Source organism: Homo sapiens, chromosome 1, assembly GCF_000001405.40.
Source record: "Homo sapiens chromosome 1, GRCh38.p14 Primary Assembly".
In the NCBI taxonomy this organism is placed as follows: Eukaryota; Metazoa; Chordata; class Mammalia; order Primates; family Hominidae; genus Homo; species Homo sapiens.
Window position 1 is genome coordinate 190,435,855 of NC_000001.11, and position 24,992 is coordinate 190,460,846.

The 24,992-nt window shown below is 31.7% G+C and overlaps 1 protein-coding gene across 14 annotated transcripts in view, besides 1 other annotated feature; it reads right to left on the reverse strand.

Annotated features, from left to right (window-relative positions):
* BRINP3 (BMP/retinoic acid inducible neural specific 3) overlaps window positions 1–24,992 on the reverse strand; it is a 380,207-nt gene that overhangs the window by 338,197 nt on the left and 17,018 nt on the right. For 10 of the 14 annotated variants that reach the window (XM_017001129.2, NM_199051.3, XM_017001126.2 and 7 more), the window contains one exon: window positions 18,801–19,086. In XM_017001129.2, coding sequence (XP_016856618.1) covers window positions 18,801–18,921 — 121 coding nt within the window. In that variant the 5' untranslated portion in view covers window positions 18,922–19,086. Of the gene's footprint in view, window positions 1–3,332; window positions 3,358–7,735; window positions 8,172–18,800; window positions 19,087–24,992 lie in introns of those variants that run through there. The other 4 variants (XM_017001127.2, XM_017001128.2, XM_011509472.3 and 1 more) reach the window with 2 other exon arrangements.
* Window positions 7,812–8,012: a silencer, noted in NCBI's record as "peak568 fragment used in MPRA reporter construct". NCBI's record gives its function as "represses an SCP1 promoter by STARR-seq MPRAs in K562 erythroleukemia cells {active_cell/tissue: K562}" and the evidence as "EXISTENCE:reporter gene assay evidence [ECO:0000049][PMID:32103011]".

Below are 24,992 nucleotides of genomic sequence, written 5' to 3' on the forward strand. Positions count from 1 at the left end.
ACATCTACCCTGGTTATATTATTTTATGGAGGCTGCACTTCCCATAGCCTTTGAGCTTTTCACAACCCTGTGAATTTTAGATAACTGATAAAATGCAAATGATTTTGTCCATAGACAAAATAGATTTTGTAAGGTAGGGAGAGAATCATTTTTTCCCCATGATGGAGTAAATTAGTTACCCATCTGTTTGTGAATTCACTTCAGTATTCCTGATTGAATTATCCTTCGATCCAGTTATAATACTGGTTCCACATCAATGAGTTAAATAAAATTTTTGCCCTGCTTATTTCATGTTTCTAGGAAAGTCATAATTATATCCTATTTTTAAAATTATATTTTAACATATGCTTAAATATGAGGACATCATTTGGCCTAGTTAGATATAGACAAATGGGAATTAAAGGACGATTGAATCAGAAGCATATTTTTTGTTGTTGTTCTGTTCTGATTTTATGTAGATTAACCAAAGGTCAAAGAGGGAGCAATTAGTGTAATGAACCAAACCATAGGTGGACAACGCCAGAGCCAAGGATCTTAAAATATATGTGGTCAACAATCTTAGAAAAGGACAATCATCCCATGACCTTCTTAGATAAAAATCACCCATACCTATGGGACAAACTTATTCAAGCTAAATTATAAGATCCAAAAAAAGAGTGAAAGGAGATCCAAATTTGCATCTCTTATAATTTTTGAATTATAAATAGCAAATATGTGGGTCATATAACGGTGCATTATGATCATTTTTTTAAAATGATCTTAAATAAAATGTCTATTCTTAAATAAAATTATCTGAATAATTCATCTCATACAATTTAACAAATAATTAAATGTAGGAAATATGCCTGGTTGAAAATCATATCAAGCAAATAGAATCATGAGACTCAATTGACTCAATTGACCATAGCTGAAAATAAGCAGATAAGTTAATCTGAACTACAGACACTGGGTGCCATCTGGTGGAAGCTCTTATTGTGTCATTATTGTATTTATTGAGCATATGTTATGCACATGTCTTTGTGCTACATCCTGAAACTATAATAATAAACAAGATACTATATTTACTCTCAACAAACATATAGCCTTGGGTAATACTATCAGATACATAAGCGATTACAATATAAGTTACAGAAGTTTTACAATATCTGCCCATTTTATGAAGGCAAATATTCACCTGAGTATTGCTCAAAGCAATCTGTATAATCAATATTGTTTAAACTGGCTACTTCTTTAAATGGTGGTTTTTATATTACCATGTTTTCATTAAAAAGTAAATGACTTCAATGGATTTTTTCAGCAAAAAATCAAAATATGAAATATTTTGAAATTTTACTTGTGAAAATACCCGGTTTCTAGTTCTCTTATCCAACAGATACAAGACCTTGGACAATTTATTTAACTTTTTGGGCTTTTCTCCATTTCCAACAAAACCACAGAGTTGTGAGACACAAACAGCCTCCATGCAAACAACCTACTGTCTACATTAACATCTTAAACGACATAACTTTATCATTCCAGGAAATTCTTGCCTAGGAAGGTAAGTTTCAAATAACTTCACTTAATCCTTCTTTTGCTCTGTCCAGTAATCCTAAACTATCATATCCAGGGTCCTTATCTAATCCTAATGAAGTCTTACATTGCCCACATTAATAAATCCACTTAAAAAACATAAAACTTCAATTAATGTTTCAATTTTCCCTTCTCCTCTCTGCCCTACTATTAAAGTCTCTGTTATGGTAATACACTCACGTGCAGTGGTAAGAATAAAATCAGCTTTGTCTTATCAACAGATTGTCTTGATGTGATTTGGAAAAGTAAATATTCAACAATTTCATTATTTGTTTAAGTAATTTTTATGCTTACCTTTGAAAATGTTTAATGACTTCTTGGTATATATTTTAACTGTTAAATACTGTTAAAAAAACTGTTAAATAAAAATACATGGAAATGCAATTAATCCATTTACTTTTATGTTAAGAGACTTGTAAAATATAACATATATTGTAGAGGAGTTAAGGAGTTAATATTTCAAAAGATAACGTTCTACGGGATTTTGTTACAAATTTTTCCTTATAATTTATATAGTATAATTACAAAAGTAATTCTAAAACAAATATCAGTGGGTTATATTTATGTATAGGTAATTTGAAAAATTATAACTTCACTCCTCAAGATTTCACAATAAAATCAAAACTGTAAAATGAAAAGATTCCAAGTTAATAATCTCTAAAATATCTTCCCATATAGGGAATAATGAATAAAGAGGAAATGAAGAGTACTTCAACTGAAATTGGATAAAATATTTTCCCATCCCAAAAGTTACTATAGAATCATTCTTTAATCATTGTACAATATTAAATGTAACCTTTAGCTGCTTTGACAATAATTATAAAAATACCTAAAATATTTCTATAATTAAAAACTATAAAAATAACTAAAATATTATACAAGATAATCTCAAATATTATTTTTAGGTTTATATTTATTTAGATATAAAATAACACTATCAACAGTTTTTCTCTCTATCTCTCATCACTTCTCTCGATATATGTAAAACAGGATGATATAATGGTCACACAATTAACAAAATTTTCAAAATTGCATTTTCAAAAAAATTAACTTCCTGACTCTGACTTTGGGGAAACTTATACTGTAGCTATAAAAAGCCATCATGAAGCTTGACTTGTAGCTTATGCTGACTTTGAGGATGTTTTATATGAAATACATAAGCACCTTAATATTAAAGCCACTGGATAATTTTCACAAAGGTTCCCCCTTTAGAAAATTTTGATATACACTAAATTTAATTCCATGGTGATTAGTGAATGGCATGTTAGTTTGAGATATGTGCTGTGTCAAGCAAAAATGCAAAGGTGAACAGAGAGTTACCCTTGACAATAAGGAGAAAGGCACTAACCAAGGAAGAGTAAATGTTCCCTCTCAAGATGCCATAATAGTGACACACTACCAGTTATCAATGTAGATTGTGACAGGAAGAGTAAAGGATAGGTTAATATCACCTCTATTGTGGAAGTTACTTGTTCTCTTTCACAGGATTCAATCTCAGACCCCAGAAAGATATTCCACTAGTATTTTCAGGCCTCTCTGTTTTCATTTTTGTCCCCAGTTGCCTATGACAGAGTAGAAATTAAAGAGCTCTTTTCTGATTTAAGTTTATTCTTTCTATCTATTGTGTCTAATGATGTCATTTTCAGAGTTGTGTGTCTATGTGGGAGATGACCCAAAAGGCGAGAGGCGTAGGTGAGTACGTTTCTTCCCTTTTGACTCTGATACAATGCAGGTCAACAGACATAAAAATAAATGTAACTTACCCTGCACTCTTATCTTCCACTCTTCCTAGGAGAGAAAAAAGTGTTGCTCATAAGTAGGCATAATGTTCATATGAATAGTAGAATAAAGGGAAAATGAAGAGTATTTCAACTGAAACTGGGTATATTAATTAATTAATATAATGTTTTTTTATATAACCTCAGTACCTTACTTTGGTTTGAATCTCCAGTTTTAATTTTGAAGTGTTAAATAACAAAAGCGTGGCATAAGACTATTTTATATTTAACCAAATAAGTCATGTCTTTAAAAACCAGATCAAAATTTTACTCCAAGGCAGAAGAAATAGCATCTAATTCCAAATTTTTGTAAGAAGGTCTGTAAGAGTACGTGTGTGTGTGTATGTGTATGGGTGTTTGAATGAATTAATGGTAGAAAGATGTTGAGCTGTGTGGTGATCTAATTAAGGGGCATGACTGGGGCCAGAAGTAGAAGACAGATAACCTAAAGCCTAAACAGTAAAGCTGAAACCGTGAACAGTGCCAAGGAAGAGAATGCAATGTGAGCCTAATTCTTAACAGATGCCAGAAATAGAAGTAGAAAATTTGAGTTTTTAAGTAATATTATATTAACCTCTTATAATGTCAATAATAAATTTTATTTCCTATAATAAAGCATTCATATACAATGGCAAAAACAGGACTCAAGCTATAAGTTCACATGTCGTGGGCAAGTTTTTTTAATTCTCATTTTGATTCTTTTGATTTGACTGAAAGGGAAGAACTAGTCATAGTGCATTAGTTTTCACAGAACAATACTTTGAATAACCACTTTAATATAAGATATGCTAACATAACAGACTGTATTTCTTCCAGTAGTTATCAAAAATCAGATTTTTAGAAAGGTACAATGTAGTATAAAATGTATTCATTGATTGTATAAAGTTCGATTATAGGAAACAGCTATTTGTAATTTTTGTAAAATAAAAGAAAATCCATTCATATGATTTGCTAAAAATATAATCTAAGGAAATCCAACAATGGAAATTTCTTTACCATCTGATATGTTTTATTCATGTCTCTTGCATTATTTAAATCGTTTCTCTTTTTACAAGCAAATAGGACTTATCTTGAAAAAAATTACACACGAATTTTAGAAATTAGAAAAATTTGATATCTTTATGTTAAGCCACAGTGTTCATTCAATATAATTATGTAAATCACCAAACTATACTCAAAACAATTTAAGTATTGACCTTAAAGAAATAAAACCTGCAGTCCGTTCTACGGCATATTTAGAAACTTTTAATTTCTATATACAGTGATGTTATCCTACATATCAACATTATCAAATAGATTATGTCAGAAAGGTGACCAGTAAAACTTAATTATAATGGAATGTCATAGTGAGAAATAAACTTAGAGAATTCCCTGTCATCTTCATTTACTAGATGAGGACTCAAAGACAGAAGGCTGATAAAATTTTATACATTTGTACAAAGAGTAAATGGTCGATAAAAGCATGAAACCTCAGTTCTATAACGTCAACTTATCACTCTATCCAACTATGTGTTGTCTTCGCCTCTCCAGTCCAAATGAGCTGGATTAAACTGACATAATACAAAAATAAATGATTTAACTTAAAAGTCAATTGGAAAATAAAAGATTGAAAAACTTATCAATGAAGTATGAGGACAACAAAGTCACAACCTAAGTAAACATTTGCAAAGTACTGATGAGAAAACAATTCTAATAAAAAACTGAAATCTTTTAGAATACAATTCTAATATACAAAAAAGAAAAGGAGGGTCCTAGATTGTATTTTTATAGGCTTTAAAAGTTAGATTAAAAGAAAAAACAAATAGTGAAATTCACTTATTTTCTCCTTAGATGGGACTGCTAAACTAATAGAGCAACAAGATCAGTCAGTATTCTGTAAAATACTTGAATGTTATGGCAACATTTGACTTGGTCAAATATAATCTCCTAATAGAGAAGCTAGAAAAAAAAAACCTAGAAATTAATACAGATCCACAGTGCTGTATCTGAAGCCCCTGAAGTCAAATGTGCTTCAGAGTTCAGTTTTCCATATTTTAGAGGGAAATGAGGAACACACAGTGTATGTTATGTAATATTTTCAATGGAATGTAAGGCAGTAACATATAATCAAGTACATCAGCATCCTTGCAATAAAACGTGAATATCTGCATTCAACACAAAAATAAAAACTATATCTCACATCTGTCCAAGTCAGGACAGGTTTCAAAGCAAAATGTGCTAAAAGAAAATGGTTCAGTTTCAAAGCTTTGGAATTTAGCAATTTCCATAAAGGGCTTTGAACCTGTACAAAAAGTTGAAATTTGTCTAATTATTGGAGGTTTCTCATTATTTAATTGAGGATATATTTTTTATTATTATTCTGCTAAGATATTTGTCAGTGATGCAAATGAATACATAGGAGCTATTCCTTTAAAATGTGCATATTTGGAATAAACCAGTATGTTTGAGTATAATTTTCAAGAAAAGAAAATTATTGACAGATTTCTCAAATAGGTCAAATATGTTTTTATTATTATTTTTAATGAGATATGGACACATGCAATGCTCTCAAGAGTAGGAGAATCTAGTTCTCCCTAATAGTACTTCAATAAAAGAGAATAGTAATGTGAAGTCTGAGTGTTATCATTGGATTAAACATTGAAGAGATAGAATTGGGATAGGATTAGAAGGTACACCCTGGAATGTGGTTTGCTCCCAGTAATTTGAAACATTTAAAGAATGGTTAGATGATCACTTGACAGTTATGCTATAAATGGGAATTAGAAAGCATGAGTTAAAGATCATTACTTTGAGTAGATACATTTTAATGTCATTTTCAATCTTTAGAATCTTTTGTTTTATTTGGGAAAAAAAACAAAACCCTAAATCCTGAAACGATCACTGCAAAAAAGGATTATAGTCTGTTACTTTTTAAATTGATAAACATGGAGATGTATTCCAATGAGTGTTAAACTTACTGTTGTATTTTAAAAATTTGCTTTCATATAATGGTTAAGTTTTGAAAGATTACATTTCGTGAGAAAATACTTTATGAATTTTAATGAGGTATGTTTATTTAAATCTAATTTTCTATTCTGTTTTGGGAAATAGTTGTGTGTGTCTTTAAGATAAGACCGTCAGCAAATAAGGCCACAGCAAAACAGAGATTTTGCTAATTTTTTAAGCCTTTGTTAATTTCTGGCTGACAAGAGAGGTAGTTTAATTAGTTAGCTACTAATATCTGTTTAAATGAGCAGCCAGGGAACTGTCCATCACAATAAGGATATGCAAAGCCCAGGCCATTCTCTTTGACTCTTTTCAACTATTTCAAAAGAGAAAAGAATAGGTAGATTCCACCTATGTGTAAATGAAGGGAGAATACTCAAAAAGTAATCACACACACGTAAATACGTAACATACTTTCGAGACAAATTAAGAAAATTGGATTTAAATAAAACAAGTAAGGTACTTACGTGTGTGTGTGTGATTACGTGTGTGTGTGTATTTTCTTCAAATGTGTGTGGTTACTTTGTGTGTATTTTCTTCATGCCTGTGCGTGTGTGTGTGTATTTTCTTCAAATGTGTGTGGTTACTTTGTGTGTATTTTCTTCATGCCTGTGCGTGTGTGTGTGTGTGTGTGTGTGTGTGTAATTTTGGGTTTGAGGTATAGGTGCCTTAACAATAAAATAGTGAAATACTTTCAAATATTGTGGAAGTCTCTGTATCTTTTTTTTTTTTTTTTTTTTTGGCGACGGAGTTTCGCTTTTGTTGCCCAAGGCTGGAGTGCAATGGCACAATCTCGGCTCGCTGCAAACTCTGCCTCCCGGGTTCAAGTGATTCTCCTGCCTCGGCCTCCCAAGTAGCTGGGACTATGGGCGTGCGCCACTGCACCCGTCTACATTTTGTATTTTTAGTAGAGATGGGGTTTCACTATATAGGCCAGAATGATATCAAACTCCTGACCTCACTCGGCCTCCCAAAGTGCTGGGATTATGGGCGTGAGCCACTGCGCCTGTCCAGCCTTCTGTATCTTGACTAAAAGAAAATATTCAGTCTCTACTAAAAATATAAAAAATTAGCCGGGCATTGTGGCGGGCGCCTGTAATCCCAGTTACTCGGGAGGCTGAGGCAGGAGAATGGCGTGAACCAGGGAGGCGGAGCTTGCAGTGAGCCGAGATCGTGCCTGGGCACTCTAGCCTGGGCGACAGAGCAAGACTCCGTCTCAAAAAAAAAAAAAAGAAAAGAAAAGAAAAGAAAATATTCAAAGAACTCTGAGAATCTTTAAAAGGAACTGAAGAGTATAAAACATTCTCTTTCCCTAGTTTAAAGTATCTCTGCTACTGGCAAACAAAATGGACACTCTGGCAAACTGGGGTATTCAAAGTTGAAACAGAACCAGGCAGCCATACCTGCATGAGGGAGCAGTGGGTCACAGACTCTGCATTCCCAGAAAGATGTTGTAAAAGTATCACAGGACCTCCCTTTCCGCATTTGGCTTGCCAAACCAATGTCTGTTATCCTTGCCAAGATAAACTGAGAGGTTTATCCCCCACCACCAGCAGTTGGAAACATCTGACAGCGACTTCTAGTTTGGGGCTTGGAAACCAACCAATCAGAACTTACCTACCCTGGCCAATCAAGGCCCAACTTGTATCAAACAATCAGAACTCAGCTGCAATGACTAATCTGAATTAAGCAAGCTTCATTCTTTCTATAAACAGACCTGATTGGGAACGTGGACAGGAACTTTGCTATAAAACATGAACAGTCAGCCAGGCAAGGTGGCTCCCGTCTATAATCCCAGCACTTTGGTAGGCTGAGGGTGGCAGATTACCTAAGGTTGGGAGTTCGAGACCAGCCTGACCAAAATTGAGAAAACCTGTCTCTACTAAAAGTACAAAATTAGCTGGGGGGTGGTGGCCCATGCCTGTAATCCCAGGTACTCGGGAGGCTGAGGCAGGAGAATAGTTTGAACCCAGGAGGTGGAGGAGGTTGCAGTGACCGGACGACATTGTGCCATTGCACTCCTGCCGGGGCAACAAGAGCAAAACTCCGTCTCAAAAAAAAAAAAAAAAAAAAAAAAAAAAAAAATCCCTTTGTTCTCTGGAATGAATTTTAATGGGGTGTGTTTTATTTAAATCCAATTTTCTTCTTTTGTGTACAAAGGCTGTTTCCCAAGTTTACAAACCATTCACTGGTATAAAGTCTCTTTCCTCAAATTTCAGAGAACTTTTCTTCATACCAATAATCAGTTATTAGCTTTTACATTTAAAATAAAATGGCTTACTAATATATTTCCTAGGTTTGTTTATATAAAAATAGTATGCTTTTTATTTATTTATTTTTATTTATTTTTTTATTTATTTATTTTTTGAGACAGAGTCTTGCTCTGTCGCCAGCCTGGAGTTCAGTGGCTCGAACTCAGCTCGCTGAAACCTCTGTCTCCCAGGTTCAAGCGATTCTCCCGCCTCAGCCTCCTGAGTACCTGGGATTTACAGGCGCGCACCAGTATGCTCAGCTGATTTATCTATTTGTAGCAGAGACGGGGTTTCACCATATTTGCCAGACTGGTCTCGAATTCCTGACCTGGTGATCTGTCTGCCTTGGCCCCCCCAAGGTGCTGGGATTACAGGCGTGAGCCACCGCGCCTGGCCAAAAATAGTAGGCTTTTTATATTGCCTTTGTTTACTGGGAAATTTGGAGAAATAAATGAATGGAATATTTAATAAGATACGTACGTCCTTTGTGTAATTTTTTTCAACCAACATGTTTTAACATCTTTATATTATCACATATCACGTCAGTAAGAGAAGCAAGTTCATGAACAAATATTACCAATTAATTGGTGTAAGACTCTTTTAGAGGCTGAATTTTATTGGAAAATTATTATATCCTAAGGCAGATTATGGAATTATAATTCCTATTGAAAATTATGGGGAAGTTAAAAAATTTACTTTGGGGAAATTAAAAAAATAGGCAGCATAATTTCAAAAAACCAAAAAACTTGCTACTTCTATAAAGATTGGTCTAATTATGGATATTGGATAAATTAAAATCTATTATAAACCATAAATAGTACACATTTCAGCTTTAACTTTAAAATACAATTTGAAAATGAGGGTCTAATCTTTTACTTTCATTCACAAGTGCTTATTAAAATGAAAGAGATAATATTATAACTTAATATTAGGACTAATTTATTTAAACTCGATTAAAAAATATTGTCAGCATTGCTATTTTATTTTTATATAAAAGCAGAAAGGACATAATGAATGTAATTTTAGAATCTTTTGTAACTTAGTGAGAAACATCATAATGCAAATCACTTTTTTCTCATTAAATTTGATTTAAGTATACACACGCATACACACACGCACGTGCATAACACATACTCACACACACACACACACACACACCCTCAAGAAAAATGTCAGGGAACCCTTCAAAGTGCTAAAACCCAGTTTTTTTCCTCTAATTTTCAATTTCACATTTTTGGGATGGTGCCCATTAAAAAAATACATATTAGCAATTCAAAAGCTCCAGCAGAGTGAAAACAAAAGAGAACAAGCCTGATAATTCTGGCAATTTCACTTGGAAGAAGACCGCAGAGATAATGAAAATGAAGAATTAGAGTGCTTGGCAAAATGGGATTAGATAGAGAAAAATAATCAAATAAAGTATTTGTTTAAATGCCAAAACATCATAATTGTTGTTTACTATTCTGTAAATAATTGTGTTAACTAGCAATCTTGTTTATTTTGTCATTATAATAGTAACAAACATGAATACACTATTAAACTAAAAATTATTACTTATAAATTGTTTTAATTATTACAAAAGCCATATTTTTAATTTATAGTAACGATTATACACAATTCTCATTAAGAACTGGCTCTTCTGACAGTGGATTATAGTTTCTAAACTATTTATATTTCTATATTATTTCTGGCTGAAATTTTCCCAATGGCAACTGTATATTTCATTTGTGAATTATAATTAAATAACAAAAATTAAAACGTATTATATGGTTTAATCTCAAAATTAGAGATATAGCAATATTGTTGTTGAACACATATATTCAAATTATTTTGGTTATTAATGTGTTTTGATGATTATTTAAAATCACTACCTAGAATACTCCTCTTAATTTATCATTGCACCAAGTGTGTTAACAGTTAGTGTAGTGATTTATAGTAAACCAACCAACTAGGGTAAAAAGCTTCCTTCTTACTATAGCTTCTTCAATATAACATACAAGAAATAGGAAAAAATTAGATTGGTGGGGGAAAGATAAGTAATTACACAATTTATGTTCCAATATACACAAATAAAAGTATAAGCGATTCTTAGATATTATTTATGAAGAAGTAATTGTAAGTGATTTTTGCAGATAAATGCCGATATAAGAATTAACCACAGTACATTTTTGTTTTAATGCTTTTAACCTATTTGTTCTGATGTTTCCATTTTGCTTTTGATATCCAAAAAATTGAACTTTATAGCTCAAAGGATCTACAGACATCTAGTTCAGCCTTAATTTTACAAATGAGGAGACTGAGGTCTGAGAAATTAAGTTACAAAACTGAGTGAATACAGTTGGTTTTTGTCAAAGACAGAAAAGAATACATGCCTCCTTGCTTATAGTCAAGAGGAAATATTTTAATTGGGATGCACTTGATCTTTAAATCCAGCATATCCAAATGCAAAGCCAGTGCCTTTGATGGGTGAACAACTGGCTTGCTCTAGGAAATTAAAGACAGATAGAAAGATAGAAATAAAAAGAAAAAGTGTATAAAATTAAATAAAACAGAAAGATGAAAAAGTTCTGTCTTCCATGTATTCATAATTTAAGTTAGAAGGTGATTTTAGTGCAATATACATGAAAGAGAAATTCAGGGACATGAGGGGCAAACAAAAGTTCAGCATGTTCTTGTTTTTATTTGTGAATATGTAAAATGGAAATTATTACAGCTGTTTATAGGAGTAAGTAAGATAACATGAAAGCACTAATTACATAATGAAAATATAATATTTAATTTCAATCTCTTTTCCTTTTCTAGTATGGATTGATAGATAGATATAGACCAGACTATTACCCTATATATATAGTGTAAAATAGTATATATATATATATAGTATAATTTTTTTAACCAACATTTTTGAACATCTTATATATATATATATATTTGTGAATAGCTTATTATACACTAGAAATAAGATGTATTAATTTCTTTTTAATTTCTTAAATAAGAAATAATTCCAATCTCTTTCCCTTTTCTAGTGTGGAAAAGGGAAAGAGATTGAAGTTAAATATTGTTTGATATATATGTACAAACACCACTTTTGCACTATATATATATAAAATATATATATATAAATGTACGTACACACACACGTTTTGCAGTCTCTCTTTCTCCCTATAGCTCTCTCTCTCTCTCTCTCTATATATATATACTACATATAGATTTGATTCCAAAACACTTCTGACGTATGTTATAGTCTGTCTTTCACATACGAAGATGTTTAATTATAATTATTTTAAAAATTAGTGTTAAGGCTCAAAGGAGAAAGTATGTTTCATTATTTTAACTCTATTTTTAACTTTTGCTTAAATAACCCTGGTATATCATAATTTAAGTGACTTTTCAAATAAATTATAGCTCATCCTAATGTTTTTAATAACAGCTAATATTTTGCCTGATCATAAAATTTACACATACTCATCACAAAAAAGTGAGAGGGAAAACCTATAAACCTTTACACAAGAGATACCTCAAACGTTTAGGTGGAATACTTGTAGGCTTTTTAGTATACATTTGTATATATTAAAAAAGTAAGACCATCCTAAAATAATTAGAGCACTATTTTATGTTTTTAAATTTTTATGTGTTTTGTTTTACTTAAATTTGAAGGAATATGAAAGAATTTCCTATTGTATTGAATATCCTTAGAAAATAAAACAATATGTAGTACTATTAAAACTGAATTCTCAGTTTTCTGAGCAAACAGTTTAATTGATTTCTTTAAATTTGTATTCTTAATATCTAGTTTTAAATTTGCATTCTTAAGATTTTTGAGAATTTTTAAAATAAGGATATATTTAATTTATTATGTTAAAATTTTTCTTTGTGGGTTAGAATAAAGTCAAATTGAGTATACATTGCATGACCGTATTTAAGATGTATGTTACATATTTAGTGCACAAAATTCCATATATCAGTACAATTGCACTAAATTCTATATTTAAATAATCTTTTTTCTTAACACCCCTACACTTGGGGTTTGTGTGTGTGTGTGTGTGTGTGTGTGTGTGATCTATTTCATCCATAAAAATCAAAATAGCAGATTAAAGTTTCTTGTGACAGTTATGTTTTTTTAATTTCTCCTGGAAGATCTATGTATAATTTACTATTCATTGTATAGTGATATATGGCATTAAAGAAAATCGATTATCTTTTTACTTTTTATGTTGGGTCTAATTTTGTCTTAGTTAACTTTGCTAAAAGTAGCACATTCAAAGAAATTTTTAAGTCTGATTATGATAATTATTTTTAGAGCTGGAAATATTTACACTTATTACATTTGCTATATTTTTGTTTTTTCTGGTCACCTTGTTTCAAGTTTGATAATTCTATCATTTTCATTTATTTTTAAACTTTTTATATGTTTGTCTTTATATGTAGCAGGAAATTTTCAAAATACACATGAAGCTTTTTACATTCACAAGTTGTTAAGGTTGGCAATAATATTTTAAACTTAATTTTTCTGGTTGAAAATGGAAATATTAATAAATTTGAATTTCCACTCTCTGCTTAATTTTTCTAAGGTTTTACTCAAATTCAGATCTCTAAGTATTTATTTATATCATCGGAGTTTATAAACCTGGGTCACTTAAACTTAATAGTTCTCTTTATTGTTAAATACTGTCTCTTCCAAGAATTATATTTTAACATTTCCTTGAAATTTTAAAACAATATTTACTATTTTTCACTAAACTCTGTGTGATAATTTTTAGTGTGAATGACATTTGTGTGGCTACATTTTATTTTATTTGCACTATTATCACACCCTCCAAACTCCTTTTTATTTTCACCCTATTTTTTTCTTGCCGTATGGTCTTCTGTTTCTAGAGATACCACAATTTCCTACAATCTATTGAAGAGACCAGGCATTCATGTGTGCTTGTTTGTGTATGTGTATATCAGGGAAAGGGATCATGAAGAGGTAATCTCTCCTACTGAATCTTTAAGATATTTATTTCTTTCGTTTAGCTATTTTGAAAAATGTGTTACCTTCTCCCTTCAGTAAAAGCATGGTCTCCCTACTATTAACCTCATACTGTCATGTAATGCAAGTCCAAAGCTACTGTTGTATTATAGCATGTATATATATATATGTACATAATATGTATAATATATTACTGTATTATTTTATTTGTTATGTGGAATAGAGAGGGCTCTATCAATATGTAGATTTTGCTGAAACAGGATGTGTTGATCAGTGCCTCCAAATCCTTCTTTGGTTTGCAGGAGACTGCACTGATATGTAGTGGTTTGGGCTTAATTATCAGTGTATAGCTGAGGCGGAATTTACTCTGACATTCATTTCTCTGACAATCTGAACAAGAAAGTCCAGGGGAAACAACATTAATTACACTAAAGTCTATTCCTCTCCCTGTTGGTAATTTAATTCTGAAAGTCCTTGTTCCTTGTCATAGATATGTAATCATTAATATTAGTACTCGTATATTCCCTTCCAGAGTTGCCAAATGTAGCAAATAAAAATACATGGCAAACAAATAAATTAAAATTTAAATAGAGAAAAATATTTTCTGCTTCTTTATTTTTTGGTTTAATTGTGTCTCAAATATTACATGGGGCATCCTTATTTGATATCTTCCTACCACATCATTCTTGCCATGTGCCAATTCCAAACATGGTGAGAGAGAGAGATCATTTTTCTGTGGCTACATCTCAAGGTAGGATCCTGTCGTAGAGAGGGAGCTGCGAAGTTGCTATTAGGATCCAACTCTGGGCTTCTGAGTAGTTAGCTGATGGTAATGACACAGCTCCCTTCTGTATTTAGGGTAAGTGCCACCTTTGTTGAGGCATTTGGGCTTGCTCATCTGAAGTATTAAAATATGTTTTGCTAGTCTTATAACTTTTAAGAAGCTTATAACTACTTCAATGCCTCTCATATTCTGGCAGAAGGTTACATATTAACCATAATTTTCTGTGTTGTTATGAGTTTTCATTTTCCCTCCTGATAATTTATACAGTATTTTAATAGGAAGTTTGAAGTGATTTCTATCTGGATTGCTACTTTAAAGACATTTTAAACCAGAATCCTCATAGTTTTTATTATAGAAAATTGTACATTCTTAAAAACAACTCTTTATCAGTAAATACTTGTCCAATTCTTATTCCTGATGAAAAATACTTGTATTTTAATTCTTAATAACTTGTACTTAAATGGATTCTTATGTATCCCAATATTATGAAGTTTTTTTCCTCTGTTTTCTTCTAGAAATTTAGTATTTTTGCCTTTCCTATTGAGATCATTATTCCATATAAAATAGGCTTATATATATGTTATGAAGAAAGGATTAAATTTCTGCTTTTCTCATATGGATACCCATATAAAGAAACACTTATTCAAAAGTTCACTCTTTCCCACACATGATTTCATTATAATCCTGTCACATATGAAGTGACCATATAGTGGTTTAACTCTTTTTAGACCATCTTGTCTTTCCTTAGTCATTTTTTAAATATAATTTTTTTTCAAGGAACATGACTGAAAAGACCAGTAAGTCATAACATTCACCTCAATTGTCTCCTATTCTCAAATTGGAGCATTATTTGAGTGCTCTGAAGAAGCACATCAAGTTGTGATAATATGACATGTCTGTATAATATTTTGAAAAATTATAAGAAAATCAACATCATTTTCCCAATAATTCACTTACACATGTGGTTAACCAAAGAATGGTAGAAGTTAGGGAAAGAAAAAAAAAATTTTTGTTTTGAGTCATCATATCTGAAGATTTACCTATGTGAAATGTTTATTTTATGATAATGAAAGTTGCCAGCCTCTGACCTTAGAACTCATATCAGTAGTTCAAGATAACTGCATCTAAGTTTGAGCCACTAAAAATGAGTCCCTTGTCTAGAGATCCTCTAATGTATTAAAAGAATAAAGATTTCCACAGCCTAGAGAAGATTATACATATCCTGACAGGCTTACAGCCTGAGGATAGTGTTTCTAGAATACAACTGCAAACACAAGGCTCCAGCTTACTAAGGCGCCAAGTGTCCCCCTGTTCTATGCGGCAGAGTAGACAAAATTTCTCCAGGAATAGCTCACTTTCTGAAACTAAAAACACTTTTAGAAATGCCTTTTTTTTTTTAAATGAGGCAACAAATCTTCCAACTCAGTGATCAATCCACAAATTAATAATCTTTTAAGTCTTAATGTAGTTTCAAATACAAATTCTGTAAATAACTTTAAATATACACAAGTTTAAAAACATAAATGTAAGTTCTATTAGTTGACAAAAACACACTTTTTCAAACATGATGACAATTTTAAAAAATCTTAGCCCTAGCTATGATTTTAGCAATTTTTGATTGTTGTGTCCTTGCCGTTCTATATTTGGAGTGAAAATAAAAATATGTTGCTGGAGAAGAGGATGAAATGAAGAAAGACAAGTGAAAATAGATTTGACCTAATTATATTAACAGGTTTGATATGTTTTACATTTCTAACTAATGCCTTTCAGAAACAATGTCAATGCAATATTCCCCTAGAATGTGTTGATGATAGTAATAATAAGCACTAGTAGAACTGGGCTGATCACTTTAGGAAATTACAATCTTTAAAATGACAAATCAAATATTTAAATATGGAAAACATTAATTTTCCATCTATGTGTTTTAAGTACTCACAAATTCTATATTTTTATGGCAAACATTAATGAAAAGTGAACTTTCTAAAATATTTTTGAAGACAAATATTAAAGACAAAACTTGCTTTACTAAAACTAAAGGTACCCTAATGAATAAATTATACTGTTCATTTTATAGCAACTATCAATAACCGTGGCATCATTTGCAATGTTTAAATGGTTTTATAAGAAGTTGTAACCTAGCTCCATTGTTTATAAATGGATTTAATATCTTTACATGTTTATTCAAGCCACAAAGGTAAAGACATAGTAAGGATAAGTAGCACAGGGCTAATGAAGGTCTTCAGGAAGTGAGTTGCATAAAAACCAAACAGAATATATGCGCCTTGCAAACAAACCTCAGAGCACTTTTGTTCATTACCTTTAACATCTGTGATCCAAATAATGCCTCTTTCATTCAACCCAGCACCTCTAAAAACATGTCAAGCTGGCCGCGCACGGTGGCTCACGCCTGTAATCCCAGCACTTTAGGAGGCCACGGCAGGCGGATCACTTGAAGTCAGAAGTTCAAAACCAGCCTCACCAACATGAAATCCCGTCTCTACCAACAATACAAAAATTAGCTGGGCGCGGTGGCGGGCGCCTATTAATCTAAGCTACTTGGGAGCCTGAGGCAGGAGAATCGCTTAAACCCAGGAGGCGGAGGTTGCAGTGTGTCAAGACCGTGCCACTGCACTCCAGCCTTGGTGGCAGAACGAGACTCCGTCCCAAAAAAACATAAACAAAAACATGTCAAGCCATGTTTGCTACTCACAGCTGATTGACTGATAAGCTAAACCACAACAATCACACATAAGACAGCACCTTAGACCTCCAGATAGAGATGCCGATAAATCACGGAGACATGCTCTGGCATCAGTTTGTGTGATAGAGTGTTAAAAATCCTCTTGCAGAGTGCTAAAATCTAACACATTCTTAGAATCCTAAAATCAGGTAGCTTCACTCAATCTGTGAGGAAAAACTGGCTAAATCAATAAACACACATAAAAATAAATGAACCCAGAATCATAAAATGTTGACAATTTCTGCTACTTTTCAGAAAGAAAAACTTTAGTATTTTTTTTTTTTTTTTTTTTTTTTTTTTTTTTTTTGAGACGGAGGCTCGCTCTGTCGCCCAGGCTGGAGTGTAGTGGCGCGATCTCGGCTCACTGCAAGCTCCACCTCCCGAGTTCAAGCCTTTCTCCTGCCTCAGCCTCCCCAGTAGCTGGGACTACAGGCGCTAGCCACCACGCCCGGCTAATTTTTGTATTTTTAGTAGAGACGGGGTTTCACCATGTTGGAAGATGGTCTGCATCTCTTGACCTCGTGATCCGCCCGTCTCTGCCTCCCAAAGTGCTAGGATTACAGGCATGAGCCACCACGCCCAGCCTCGTCATTTCATTTATTTAAAAAATAGAGTAAATCTTTTCATTAGGCTTATGACAGTGTTATGACTGCATGGAATAAGGGATTTCTTATTTTTGAGAAGGCAAAGCAATAATTGTGTGGTGCTTCATGGAACTTGCTCAGGACATTCAGTGTCTTCTGTAAATATACATTGCTGATAGGATTTATAAATTTCTCATAATGCTGTATAAATGACTACAGACAAACATGAAGCACAGTGCCCTCTGGTGCACATAAAACATAAAATAAAATATTTATATAGGAGTATCTACATAGATACAGCCACACAAAAATACACAACAAATGTGCTTCTTTATAAATGTTAAACCATTAACTAGGAATTGTAAAAGTCTATCACCAATAAACAAATTGAAGTGATAGCTTCACATAAAATGTTCTTCATGGCATAGATCAATATAATCTAATCCATCAGGCAACCACTTGTACACTCTTCTACTTAATGTATTCACGGGACATCAGGTGAACAGGCAACCTTTGTTGAATTTAATATATTACTCTTTTTGTGTAACTTATTTAGATTTTAAACATAGAACATTGATAGATGTTAAAGATCATATATCTTTATCCCATCCATTTCTTTGATCTTTGCTATCATGTCCTATTTATCTGCTACTTGTTTTTATTCCATTGCTGTTTCCTTTAGCTTCTGAACGTACAATTACCTTTCAGGTAAAAAAGGATGAGGTGACTCAACTTCTCAGTGACTAGTAGAAGATACCATTTCCATTTAGGCTGAAAAAGGTAACATAGCATTGTATAAGGTAGAAAGGAAAAGCAATTTTTTAAATTTCACTTTAAAATTTTGGCTATTTAAAATAAGAAACTCGGCTTCCAAATACATTGCCATTTACTTTAAGGCAGTGTAGCATGCTTAAATTTGGGAGTGATAGACAAGTGGTCACCATTATCTGTTTTTATCATAATATATTACATCTATAAGAAATACTTTGAATAGCAAGAAAACATTACTATGGTGCATGGTAAATAACAACCCTTCTGATAATACCTTTTTCCCGTCTGAAACTTTCCCTTAGAGAAACTTATGTATACACAACCTTCAAGGATGATATTTCTGTAATTGCTTTCCCTTTGCTTCATACCTGTATATCTTGTATCTTGTGCTAAATCCCTGCCGGCTTCTGTCCACAAAATCTGTGTATTCCTGTGAGCGATGGAAGGGTCCCTTATCAGAGAGGAGCCAGTCGAAGGGGCTTGTGGCATGCTGATCCGAAACAGCAGCAACCGCTAAAACCCAGCAATGAAGACTCAGTGCTATCCACTCCCATAGAGCCATCAGAGAGAACAATTCAGCACCAGCTCTGCTTCGCCATATCATGCTTCCACTGGGGATTTAGAGCCTTCATTCTCTCAGCTTTCCCTCAACACCTAGACAAAATACACAGGCAATTAGTTAACTCCTAGAAGATTCCTTTCTCTCAGTTAAGGTGTTGAGGTGGCTAATTTTAAATTTTAATCTAATATCATTGTTTTAAATTAGTATTATCAGCAGATAATAAAATACAAACCAAAATTATTTTTTTAGAGCTGTATATCTTTTATACTTTGTTCCTTTTTTATATTAATGGAAAATAAGACATTGAGTCATAACAGACTTTGTCATAACAATTTTATTCAGTGGATCATTAAAGCCTATTGAGCAAAAATCAGAAGTTGAATGTTTTATAAAGTTGGACTGATGCAAATAAATAATTAATAAGTTCAAGTATTTCATATATTTCATAAATTGTGTTACAAATTTTAATACTAGATTTAATTTTATTGTATATTTATCTTAAATAAATGCTTTAAATGAAGCAAAGATATTCATGTAGTTATTTCCATAATCTACATAAACACGGAGTAAAACTGTGGATTTAAGAATACATAAATATATGTATGTATATGTGTGTATATGTGTGTATACCTATTATAGATATATATAGATATAGAGACAGACACAGAGTGAGACAGAGAGATGATAGAAAGACAGACTGATACATGAACAGATGTGTGTGTGTGAGAGTGGATGTGAGGAGTAATGTCTTTTCCCAGATTTTTTTTCATTATTCTGTTAGGAAAAAACTGCATATCTGATTATTTAAACAAAATCATAATTACATTATTTCTAGGGTCTTTAAAGATTTAAATGTGCATCTGTCTTATTCATAAGAAAGTCATACCTCCAAAATTATATGCACATAAATTAAGCTAATGCAGACTATTCATAGACTTTGAAACTGCATACATTGTAGTATAATCATTCAAAAAAAAGTAATAAGACGTATAATCCCAGTATGGTACAGTGTAAGACACTTTATGCAAAGCTGCTGATGCAATGTCTATATGCTACACCAGAAAATTCTAAAAATATTTGAATTCAATTTTTCTTTCTATCCTCATCAGCTTTTCAAACTGTATTATTCATAGCACATAGCACTACAGAGTGCAAAGATTCTGACTAATGAGAAAGGTTTACTTGCATGAGTTCTTACTCAGCAAAACATCTTTAGAAAAAAAGATTAAGATTTACAGTATTAAGATATATCAGTAATAGTAGCTACCATATTTCTCTGGTATTTGAATAAGAACACTGGTGGTTTTAATGTACTTTCCTAGCTATAACCCCATTATTTGTATTTAATCCTAAACTATTTCTATCTGAGAGATATAGAGAAATAATTTTGGGGCTCTGAAGTAGCTCAAAGCAGTGATACAATGAGTGAACTCTTAATATCACGATATCCATAAAAGGACATTCCTCACATACTGTATGAGTTGCCTCAATCATATGAGTTGCTCACTGAGGGGATTAAAGCGTACCGTCTTTTGTAAACAACATGGGAAGCCTTACAAGTGAAGACATTTTAAAAATGATTTTCTATAAGAAGGAATATTATAATAGAAGAATTTTGGAATAGGAGCTTGGAGATTCTAGGCTTTTTTCTATTATCTATATAAATGTACCATTGTCAAATGATTCAACTCCTAACTTTCAAATTTGCTGAAAAAATATTTTATATATTTTTTCTTATGAGAACTATACAATTTATTTTAAAATATAGCTTACTTTCATTTATAAACACAATTATTCTTATGTGTAGTGGTATAGTATAATAATCCTGTGACTAAAAAATATTACTCGTCTTTGTTAAACACACTATTTTTATTTTGCTTATCATATACATTTAAACGGGCAAAATTTAATCATTATTTTTAGAATATATAATTTCTTAATTTAAATGAGTAATTTTTCATTTCATAAAGACAGAATAAATTATTCAAACCACTACTCAAGTCCATATTACATATATCATCTGAAAGGATGTGTTTCTTAATTGAATAAAACTTCAGTCACACCATCTAAATGAAGTTCTCTTATTAACAAATGTAGATGTGAACAAGAATATTATTGAAAAAATTCAAACAGTACTTATTTCATCCTAATAAATAACTTGGAAAACAGTTCTTTGAAAATGAAATCAGATTTTCTCCAAACCCAACAACCAATATAGCAAATTAGGATATATAACGTCAAGAGACAATATTCATAGTGGTTAAAAAAATGGACTCTAGAGCCAAACCGCTGATGTTAAAATTCTAGCCCTGGCCAGGCACGGTAGCTCACGCCTATAATCCCAGCACTTTGGGAGGCCGAGGAGGGCGGATCACCTGAGGTTGGGAGTTCAAGACCAGCCTGGACAACATGGTGAAACCCTTTCTCTACTAAAAATATACAAAAATTAGCCAGGCAGGGTGGCACACATCTGTAATCCTGGCTATTCTAGATGCTGAAGCACGAGAATTTCTCGAACCTGGGAGACAGGGGTTGCGGTGAGCTTAGATGACTCCACTGCACTCCAGCCTGGGTAACAGAGGGAGGCTCTGTCTCAAAAAAACACAAAAACAAAAACAAAACAAAAACACCCAGCCCTTCTACTAACGCTATAGATGTTTGACTTTAGGCAAGTTACTTAACTTCTTTTGTGCGTCAGATTCCTAAACTATTATAGAGGTCACCTCATCAGTCTATTATAAAAATAGAGTGAGTTAATATTTGTAAAATCCCTAGAATAGTGCCTACCATATGGTAAGGACATGTGGTAAAGTTTTAAGTTATATTTTATACTGGTATGAAGCCATGCCATTATACACCTTAAAATTAAACAAATGTTTTGTACTCACACATGTGATTTTTGTAATACACAAAGTGTTTTAAAAGTAGGATACAGTTGACCTAGATGGCATTTGAGGTCCTGTTCTACAATTCTGTAATTTTTCAATAGGTGAATTACCCAGAACCACTTTCTTATCACTTTCTTTATCAAATGTGTTGAGCTTGTTTCATAGTCTTCATATCCCCTCATTAAAAAAAAAAAAAACTATATTGTGTATATTTAAGGCGTATAGCATGATGTAATATGGTTACAGTAGTGGAACAATTTAACATATCCATCATTTCACATTGTTATGCATTTTAACATATGGGAAGATAGAAAGGTTTTCTTTAATTTTGTGCAGAGAACTACCTAACAATATTACCAGGTAATTATGAGGTAATTATCACATAATTCGGGGGTTTAATTATTTCTGTTTTTTCTACTTCTGACTTTGGGAACATGTTCCCCACTTCTGTACAGAAATAATTTTTTTCTGAAAGTTTGTTAACACATAGGAATGTCAATCTTACCCCAAATTAAGTTAATTTTGGTGATATCCTAAAATCATTGTATTTGTAAGAACTTTATAAAGATATTTTGTAATGAACAAATTGAGATATCCCAATAAAGTTATACTGAAATAGTGTTTAAGAACTTTTTTCACAAGTTACATGACAGGGAGAAAAGTCATAATAGAATGCCTAAGGCAAGCATGTAAGCTTCTAGCCATCTTTAGGACAAGTGGTAATTAAACTCAATATTCACCATCAGAAGAGCTTCATTACCTGGTTTGTCACAAAAGTAGATCATTGTACATTTAATTCATATTTTCATGAGTACTAATTTATAAATTATTACTGAATTACCTTAATTGGTTGCTTTATTTGGTTTGGGTTATAACCATATTAATCCATGTGTCAGAGATGGTTTAGTAAATAGAGTTTGTTTGTTACGATGTAGTGTTAGGATATTTTGAGGTGACAAGTGAGGTGAACAGCTAAACTTAGATATACTGCCAAGAAAGAGAAATCACAAGTTCCAATGAAAGAGGATAGAAATTATTAAACTAATAATGAATTTATCACTTTTTCTATAGTGTGGGGAAATGCAAAATAGTCCAGAATTTAATATTCATAACCAAGAGGCTAACTGGCCAACTAAAGAGATGAGAACATCAATGCACCATATTTTCTGGACCATGGGAGAGTGATTTTATATAAAAGAGAGAAATAAAAGAGAATGAAGAACACAAAAAAACAAAACATTAAAAACAATACAAAATTAAAAACATGACTTTATGTTTAAAACATGGTGTTTAATTAAGTATTTATGGTTTTTTTCATAAAAAATAAGTCATAAATATTGAAATATCTATTTGAAAAGCAGATATTTAGTATAGGTCCTACTCTTAAATTCTTTCTCACAAAAAAAAAAAAAAATAACTGTGAAGACCACATCATGATACAAGTTTATTTGCAAATCCTCAATGGCCTTGACAATCTGTGCAGAAATAAAATACATCAAAAATATGTTACATATATACTAATGTATACTAATGCATATAATACATAATAAATGCATAAATAATATGTGTATAATATATAGTCTAAATATGATTATTCTTTCTTACTAGCTGTCAGTAGTCTTATTCCAAGGTGGTGGTACCTTACTTTTATCTAAAATACTGATATATCATATATATTTGAAATTCATAAATATTGAAATTTATGAAAGAAATATTTACTATAACAGTAAAAGTGAATTTCCAGTAGAACTGAAACTACAAAGATATAAACAAAATATTCGGAATCACTGAATTAAACTTAATATCCTTTAAAGTGGTGGGTCATGTCATAGTGGTGCATCTTTTAAACCTCAGTATCTTATTATCCACAACTGAATTAGATGTCCAGTGATAATTATTACTATTTGTTAAACAATTAACATTGCAAACTGTATCATTTCTTTTTTTGTATTTGCATTTGGACTGATTTTTGCTGCTTACATATCCAAAATATTCTCTCAGGAACTAAAACCTGCTGAAGAACTTGAATATGCAAAGTCATTTCAGAAAACCATTGTATCAAACATATTTACTTTCATTTTGAATAATGTAGAACCCATGGAAAACTGAAAGACTGATACGGTAAACTCTTACATATCTGTCAGTTAGAGTCACCAGTTTTGTTTTCTTTTTTTTCTACCATATTATCACTCTCTGTCTCTTTTTCTCTTTCCCTGTCTCTCTCCCTCTCATAAATTTTTAAGTATTGGACAAAGGTATAAAGAAAATTGGCTGATTTGCCCAATGTCTGCAACCATTCTCTAAATTTCTTCTCTTGAGCAAATACTACTTTGCTCTATAAAATAGTTTCTTAACATTAATGCTTACTAATACTGAAGCTTATAAATGTAAAACTATGAATCTTCAAAATAAAATATCCAATATTCAAAATAACTATTTAAAAAGTCACATTCTTTCAAATAATACGATACATATTATTCTATTAAATCTATTAAATTATAAATGTTAGAATTATTTATTATAAAATAAAATATTTATATGTAGTACCCCAGAATCTGTTTAAAATCTACAGCATTATTATATAATCATATATAACTATAATAATTATTTTTTGATTATTCATTTAAATAAATACTAGCTATGAAATAAATGAATACTAAATACATAATTGTGTAAGTAAATAAATGGTAGATGAGGTAAAAATATTTTAACATAAATTTTCAATACTTTTTCCACTATAGTTTATTAATTGTTTCAATTCCAATTTGGTAGAAGTAATAATGTAGAAAACCAGAATAAAAAAATAAATCTTATTGATCAATTGCAATGTGCAAAATATCATGATAAGTTTTGAGACAGAGGTGGGCCTTAAGTCTTAATAAAGATAGTGCTTCTAGCCTCAGGAACTTACCGGTTTAGGAAGGCCATGTGGAAGGCAGGGCATACTGCCTGTGGCCATTTCTGTTAGAACATGATACCTCTGTCAAGGAAAACTAAACGTTCTCCAAACTTTTTTCTGGTTTTCTTATCTCACTAAATGATACTTCCATCTACTCAAATTTTTAAGCCTAAACATGACTTTGACCTACCTTCTCACTCACATATACAAT